Source organism: Homo sapiens, chromosome 13, assembly GCF_000001405.40.
Source record: "Homo sapiens chromosome 13, GRCh38.p14 Primary Assembly".
NCBI classification, from domain to species: Eukaryota; Metazoa; Chordata; class Mammalia; order Primates; family Hominidae; genus Homo; species Homo sapiens.
The window spans coordinates 85,602,171-85,610,364 of NC_000013.11; the positions used below are offsets into that span (position 1 = coordinate 85,602,171).

Consider the following 8,194-nt stretch of genomic DNA (forward strand, 5'->3'; position numbering starts at 1 on the left):
AATCGCATTTTGGAGTGCAGTTTTTATTGGTTTTAAATTGTAAATACCTCTGGATTGGTAACAACTTTGTCACAACACTTGGAATGAGAAATTTATAACAGCCCTGTCCTGCTTGTGAAAAATACGTAGAAACTCCCCAAATTAAGAGGACTCAGGTTAATCATATTTAATATATATGCTAAATTTATATAAGTATAGCTATGTGTATATAACATATTGGTAAGCATAATTATTTGAACACTTTTAAAGCTCAGATGTTAAGATATGAATACTTCATTTGCTTAAGTTTACAGGATTACTCTGAGGAGTAATCCTATAAAATAAGTAACACTGTTATCACCATTGGGTAGATGAAGCTTAGGAGAGAGAATTGGAGTAAAGCCATTCGACCAATAAAGGTTAGAGCTGAAATTGAAATCTAAGCTTAGTCGACTACTGTGACCAAAATTTTAAGTACAAGAGAAAGCATATAAAATAATTCCAGAATCCTGGATATTACTTTAGATGGACAGGCCTCACTAGGAAATTATAAGGGAAAGCAGAAAAGTCAAGAACCAGTCCAATTTAGCCACTATAAAGTAACTTTTATAGAAGTACTAAATGGTAGAAAGGTAAAAATAATAATAATAATAATTTACTGTTTTGCTTGGCTGAACTTATTAACTGGCTGCTGTCTCAAATTCTATAAGTTTGCAGTTTATTTTTCATATTTGAAATCAATTATTAAATCACATGTTTTTGTTTGTTTGTTTGCTTGCTTGTTTTTGAGATGGAGTTTCACTCTTGTTGCCCAGGCTGGAGTGCAGTGGCACGATCTCGGCTCACTGCAACCTCCACCTTCCGGTTTCAAACGATTCTCCTGCCTCAGCCTCCCCAGCAGTTGGGACTACAGGCACATGCCACCACGCCCAGCTAACTTTTTGTATTTTTAGTAGAGACGGGGTTTCACCATGTTGGCCAGGATGGTCTTGATCTCTTGACCTTGTGATCCGCCCACCTCAGCCTCCCAAAGTGCTGGGATTACAGGCGGGAGCTACCGCACCCGGCCCACATGCTATTTTTTACTCCTACCTTCCAACTAGAACAAAATGCCCACTGTTTGTTAAACTTTCCACATAGATATTCATTTCTTAATTCTATCATTATTTATTAGGTGACTGCTGTTTTCCAGCCACTGTGATAGATGGATGAAATAGTTACATAAATCAAAAGTAAACATTAAGAGTGATAAGGACAGGGATAGAGATATGCGCAGCTTACTGCAGAATATTTAAGATGGAGTTCCTTACGCAGAAGTGGCAAAAACATTAAGCCAAGGAATTGAAACACTGCTTCACTCTTTCATAGTGTTTTTGTGAGTACCACTTCTAAAAAGAAGTTCTTATTTAATGTAGGTAAAGGCTTTAAAATCCAAAACTCTCAAAAAAGTATAAACTAAGTAAAAAAGATTAATTTCAAGAAACAAACAGATACGCATTGAATTTATTGCTAAATAAGTTCTGCTTTTTTTACAAAGTTAGATACTCAAAATGAAGTCCTCTGTAGTTTTTCAGCTTTAGAACTATTACTAAATAGGCATTTTCCACTGTCAATCAAATTATATAGTTTTTATTTTAAAAGAGTCATTGGAAATGTAATTCTCTGGTGAAGGCTTATTACTCATGGAATCCTGAGGTTAAGGAGCAGACAAGTGACAGACATTGGTTAGCACTGCCATTGTGCTTTCTGCATGGGCCCTTAAATTATAGATAGTTAATTAGATTGAGAAGACTTAGCATGTTAGAAAAACAATATGAGAGAATGACAACTTGAGAAAGACCAGACCACAAATTAAGGTGTAGTCAGTTTGTTGCAATGTGTAACTGAGGGCATTGGTTCAGCGAAAAATGATAACTTTTCTAAAACAAGAATTAGTAGTCTATATAAGGATGCATTTGATACAGCAAAACACAGCACAATGAAGTAACAAAAAATTTCTGTCTTATGCGAATTGACTATATATATATATATATATATATATATATATATATATATATATATATATATAAATAAAGAACCTGGCATTTAAATTTTGACTTTTGCATTTGATTGACTCTGTCTATTATCAGTTTGCAGATTTTATGTTTCTACGTAACTAAATAAAGCACCTGATTCTGTTTCTCAATGTTTCTCTAACAAATCAAGAAAAAACCTGTATCTTTTGAAATAGGAACACTCTTAATAGATAAAGTGTCCTAAAACAAAACCGCCTTGGGTTTTTATGATACAATGTAGAATTAAATGAGTAATTTAAATTTGCATGCTCATTGGCTTGATGCCACGGTCCTGTAAAATTGCCAGCTTTACTAGTCTTAAAACTAAGGAGATAAGTAAGACTAATATTCTGAGTACCATTAATCTTTTCCGTTGAATTGTTTACCTGGGAGACGGATGAGTACATAGATCCTGTACCAGCAACTTTATCTAAATTGTTTCTGTGTCACCTTGATATTTCAATACCTAAAAATATTAGCTGGAAGAGATAATCTATAGAAGACCTCAAATTGCCAGGGTTTATTTTAACCCGCTACACTCCCCTTGTAGTTGTTGATAGTTTGTTGAATTAAGAATCAGAAGCATATTCTTTTAGGCATTTTTCTATCCAACTTTAACTACAAAATAAGATGTGACATTGACATTATTTTGCCTATATTAGAATTGATGTTAGAATTTAAACCATAGCTTATGATGTATTTATTTCCTAATTAATATTTTTCCACAGTGAAGAAAAAGTTAAATATTATTCACCAAATACTTGATCTAACAGACAAGTTGGCCAGATGTGGTACCTTACACCTGTAATCTCAGCAGTTTGGGAGGCTGAGGTGGGCAGATTACTTGAGGCCAGGAGTTCGAGACCAGCCTGGCCAGTATAGTGAAACCCCATCTCTACTAAAAATATAAAAGTCGGACATGGTGGTGCATGCCTGTAATCCCAGCTACTCGGGAGGCTGAGGCAGGAGAATTGCTTGAACCCAGGAGGCAGAAGTTGCAGTGAGTGGAGATCATGCCACTGTACTCCAGCCAGGTGACAGAGTGAGACTCTGTCTCAAAAATGATAATAATAATAATAATTAGTAATAATATAGAAGTTGACAAACATTTTTGAAAGGGCCAGAAAATGGCAAGATAGGAGATGGATCATGTACAGCTTTGTGGGTGAGAATTTTGTTTAATTCTTTATCTAATTCAAGCTCGTCCAACCTGTGGCCTGTGGACTACATGCGGCCCTGGACAGCTTTGAATGCGGCCCAACACAAATTTGTAAACTTTTGTAAAACATTATGAGACTTTTTGCAATTTTTTTCTTTTTTAGCTCATCAGTTAGTGAATTTTATGGGTGGCCCCATAAAATGTAGCCCAGGGAAGCCAAAAGATTGGACACACCTGATAATTGAAACTCATAATGTATTTGAAGTAGAGGAGTTAATATGATCTGATTTAGGCTTTAATAGTTTGTGTCAGCTGCCGTGAAGAGACAGCAATACGGAAAACAGTGAGAAAACTAATGTAATTGTCTACAAGGGTAATAATGGAGCTTGAGATAGGGTGTTGGTAGTGACAGTGGCAAAAAGGGGACAAATTAGGATACATTTTAGAGATAGACTCAACAGGATTTTCTGATGAATGAAAGAAAATGGGATGGAAATATGAGAATCACAGATAACTACAAGATTTGGTTTGACCCACTGAGTGTTTGCTCATGCCTGTGTTGAGATGAGACCTGAAAAGAAACAGGTTTTTTGTGGGGGGAGCTGGTTAACAAGGGTTCGGTTTTGATCAAGCTGTAAGTGAAACATCAGTTAGATATTCACATGGAGAGGTCAAGTATGCAATGGAATATACATGCCTGCAGTTCCAGAGAAAATGTATGGGCTGTAAAAACGGATTTGAGATATGAATCTCAAATGTGTGTATTGATTACATTAGAAGCCATAGAATAGGATGAGGTTATCTGCAAAGAATATTTCCATGGCAAAGAAAAGGACATCCATATCAGAGTCATAAGATACTCCAACATTTCAAAGCTTGAACAGAAGAGTAAGAGCCAGTATACGTGATTAAGAAGAGACGGCTTTTGAAGTAGGAGAAAACACAAGAATTTGGATTCTTAGACTTCTGTCGCAAGAAAGAGAAAATGGTCCGTTATCTCAGATGTTACTGAGATGTCAAATAAGAGAAGAACCTAGAAGTCATAGGTAAATTTGACTGCATCATCTGTGTTGATCTTTACAAGGACATTTTCATGAAGCTGTGGGAATGGAAGCCTTATTGAAATAAATTGAGGAAAAAATGTGAGACGATAGTTTAGAAACAATAACTTACATACTTCTATTTTCAGAAGTTTTGTTATTATATGGGAACAGGAGAATAGAGTGGTTAACTAGAGAGGTTTGCAAAGTGCAGGGAAGTTTCCTTTTTTGAGACAGGGTCTTGTTCTGTTGTCCAGGCTGGAGCGCAGCAGCCAAATCTATTACTCTCTGTAACCTCAAACTCCTTGGCTCAGGTGATCCTCTCACTTCTGCTTCCTGAGTAACTAGAATCACACTTGGCTAAGTTTTTAATGTTTTGTAGAGACAGGGTCTCACTATGTTGCCCAGGCTGGTTTCGAACTCCTGGGCTCCAACGAGTCTTCCATTTAGGTTCCTCAAAGCATTAGGATTACAGGCATGAGCCACCACACTCATTCTGGGAAGTTTCCTTTTTTAAAAGAGGAAATACTGACTGGGATGGGGTGGGTATGGCAAGGCACTGGGGAAATGTTGGTCAACGGATACAAAATTTCAGTTAAATAGGAGGAATAAGTTCAAGACAGTAATTGTACAACATAATACAGTTAATAACAATGCACTGTATGATTGAAAATCACTGAAAGTAGATTTTGTTCTCACCATAAAAAGTGTGTAAGGTTATGCATATGTTAATTAGCTCAATTTAGCTATTCCACAGTGTATACATATTTTGAAACATTATGTTGTCATTGATAAATATATGCTATTTGTATTTGTCAACTTAAAATATGAAATAATTAATTATGAATATTAAAAAGGCAATACAGGATTATGATTATGCCTTTGGCAATGTCGTCCACATAGTGTGGGGGTAATTAATGATGCAATAACACTGAGGAGAGGAATGAGCACAGAAGCCGGTGGCTGAAACAGGAGGAGATCCGGAGCATACTGAGAGACTTTGGTCATTGACCAGCACAAGGTCATATCATTCACAGTAAGACAAGGGAAGGCAGTGAGCGTATGTAAAGCTGAAGATGGACAACTGACTTGTTAGTGGAAAAATGGAGGAAATCCCCTCTGCATGCAAATTTGATATAAAGTCATGAGCAGCTTTAGGGCTAGGAAGCAAGGAGAAATGGAGATAGAATATGGAAAATAATTTAAACAGCAAAATGTGAGTACACAGGAGGACTGCACTAAAATTTCTAGGCATTATTGAGTGTCCCTTTGAAATCTGGAGTGAGGTTAAAGTGAGGCCAAGAAGCATGGACACATTCAATTGCTAGTAATGATATGCATTAAATGGAAATTCATGTTAAATTAGGTTATGATTTTTTGGTTGATACCAAGGGAGTAAGATTTAAGTGAAGATATTTACAAAATTTGGCAAATGTTTTATCAACTGAAGTTATAATTATTAGAAAAACAATAGAGAAACAACACTAGATCATGTAATTTTAAGATTTACTTCTTAAGACCAAAGGGAAAAATTTAATGTTATTGCCATGTTTTGACGTTTTATTAATTTTGCCTTTAAATCCAATGATTTCTCTGTCTCATAAATATATAAAACCTGATTTAAAGCTATCCTTTGCTTCAAGCAGTTAAAAATGAATCTGGAGTACTGTTTAAGGCCCAGAGTAATGGAGCCAAACAGACATGGGTTTGAATTGTGGTATCGGCTATTATTTATGTTCTCTTGGACAAATTTATATCTTTTATGATCTACTAGACTACATAATAATGGAATCATATCATTCATATAATATCCTAAATCAACATCTGGCATATAATAGAGCTCCATAAATATCGACAATTTGCTAGTGTCACTGTCATTGTTGCTACCACCCATGGACACGGCATTCTTTCGAGGACCCTTAGATGGACCCTAGGAGGAGCCCTAGCTGCTGTTCCCCATTCAACACCCCCATTCAGTAAGAGGTAGCCAGAAGGAGTCACCACCCAAAACCCCCAACGGCAGTTAGGGTGACATCTCCACAGGGAGTTATTAACAAATTACTTTAGGCAGATAGATAGGAAAAGGGGTTCTTGGGAAGTTTTTGTTTCCTTTAAAGCTGCTCCAGAAACCTTTGTCTACCAGGAAAGCCCCCATGCTTAGAGCCAGGCAGCAAGCTTTGGTATGCAAATGCTGGCCATTAGAAACTGGGTCCACCCAAACATGGCAATTCCCGCCCTCTTCTCCTTACCCTTGCCCCCACATGTGCCTGCCCCCACATATCCTCAGGTGTGTAGAACACCATGGCACCCTGCATTTACATATTAAAAGGCTAGGGTGGGAGGGCCGGGTTTTTCTGTGGGCTACGAGAGTGATATGACTGGTCAAACCAATTCCCTTAGCCCTATGCAAATCAGACACCACCTCTCCAGCCTTCCCTTTGAATCCCCACTCCCCTCGTCTCTATCTCTGTATGGGGGAGCTGTTTTCTTCTTCCTTCCTCCTTTCTTGCCTATTAAACTCTTCCCTCCTTAAAAACAAAATAATAATAATAATTTGGTAAATCAAGTTATCAGATTATGTTTAGTCCAATTCGGCATGCTGCCCTTGTCTGAAACCTCAGAAAAATCGAGACTATCAGTTGTGTACTTACATGAGATTCCCCTTTTCATATCTGTAAAACTATCCATATCAAGATAAAATCTATCTTCGTGAATTCCCCACAGGTTCCCCATTCTCTTTTTATTCCTCAGTCCAGAATTTCTCCCAATGAAATCACTGAAAAATTTCATCAGTTATTTCAGAAATTACACATCTCTTAGTCTATATTTAATTCTTACAGTGCTTGAATTATCTATAAGATGTACGTCTGACACCTTTTTATTCTTGAAACTGTTGGCCTCCTTGTTTTTACAGGATTCTGTTCCATTTCTTCCACTTTCTTCCCCATCTTATTCACTAGCTGTTCCTCCCATCACCCACTCACATACTGATGTTTTGGATTCCTAGTATCTACTCTCTTTTTGTCTTTCTCTCCACAGTGCTCCTCAACCTTTTGTGTAAATATTAGCTTCTATAGAATTTTTTTAGTGTCTAGATTGGTCTCTGTTCAGAAAGCTTTTTATTCAACAGCTTGTAGATGAGGCTTCAAAAAGTATAGGCCCTAAAGCACAGAAAATGATTCTGGCATATAACTCAAGATGAGAACCACTGTCTACACATTCTCCATGGGCTGTCTCACCCAATCCCAGCTTGTAATCTGTTCGGAAAGTCACACCTTTAATAACTCATAATAATAAAAGTCAGAATTTACATATCTGACTGAATTCAATAGCCTCTATATAATCTTCTTAACAGGGAAGATTTTAAAAAATAGTTAAAACTAGTAAGTACTCAATGAACATTTGGTGCATGAAAAAAGGAACAAATGATCCCCCTGCAAAAATAAAAAATAGATCAGATTTTTTTTTTTTAATTTTTGAGGATGGTAGTAAACTGGCCTCATGACATTATCATTGACAACTTAATTTGAAATTATTATCAAATAGGAAAAGGGAAACATATAAGTGGAAGACAAGATAGAAAGTGTTCTTCAATATCGCAATGTCAGCTTACTGTTATCTACTTCTGAAAACCTTGAAATGCAAGTTTCTTACTTAGAATCTGCCCTTTTAAAATTGTCTGCAAGATTATTAAATAAACCAGTAAAATATGATTTCATGCTATTGTGTTTACCAAATTGCAGATAACCAGTTTCTTCGCAAAACCAAAGGAATGTCAAAGTGCTGCTGTATGTCACAAACTCTGGCGCCAATTCTCAAGATGTTTAACTTTAAAATGTACCCTTAGTAAACAAAAGAAGATGAAAACCTTGGCAGAAAGTTAAACTGCCCACAGATGCAGACTATCATTTTCTAAAAGCCTCTAGTAGCATAGATTCTTCTTTCACTTCAGGGTGACACAG

The 8,194-nt window shown here is 36.5% G+C and overlaps 1 annotated feature.

The window, feature by feature from the left end:
- Positions 6,038-6,693: an enhancer, noted in NCBI's record as "OCT4-NANOG hESC enhancer chr13:86182343-86182998 (GRCh37/hg19 assembly coordinates)". NCBI's record gives its function as "activates a minimal SCP1, AML or CMV promoter by ChIP-STARR-seq in primed H9 embryonic stem cells {active_cell/tissue: H9 hESC(primed)}" and the evidence as "EXISTENCE:reporter gene assay evidence [ECO:0000049][PMID:30033119]".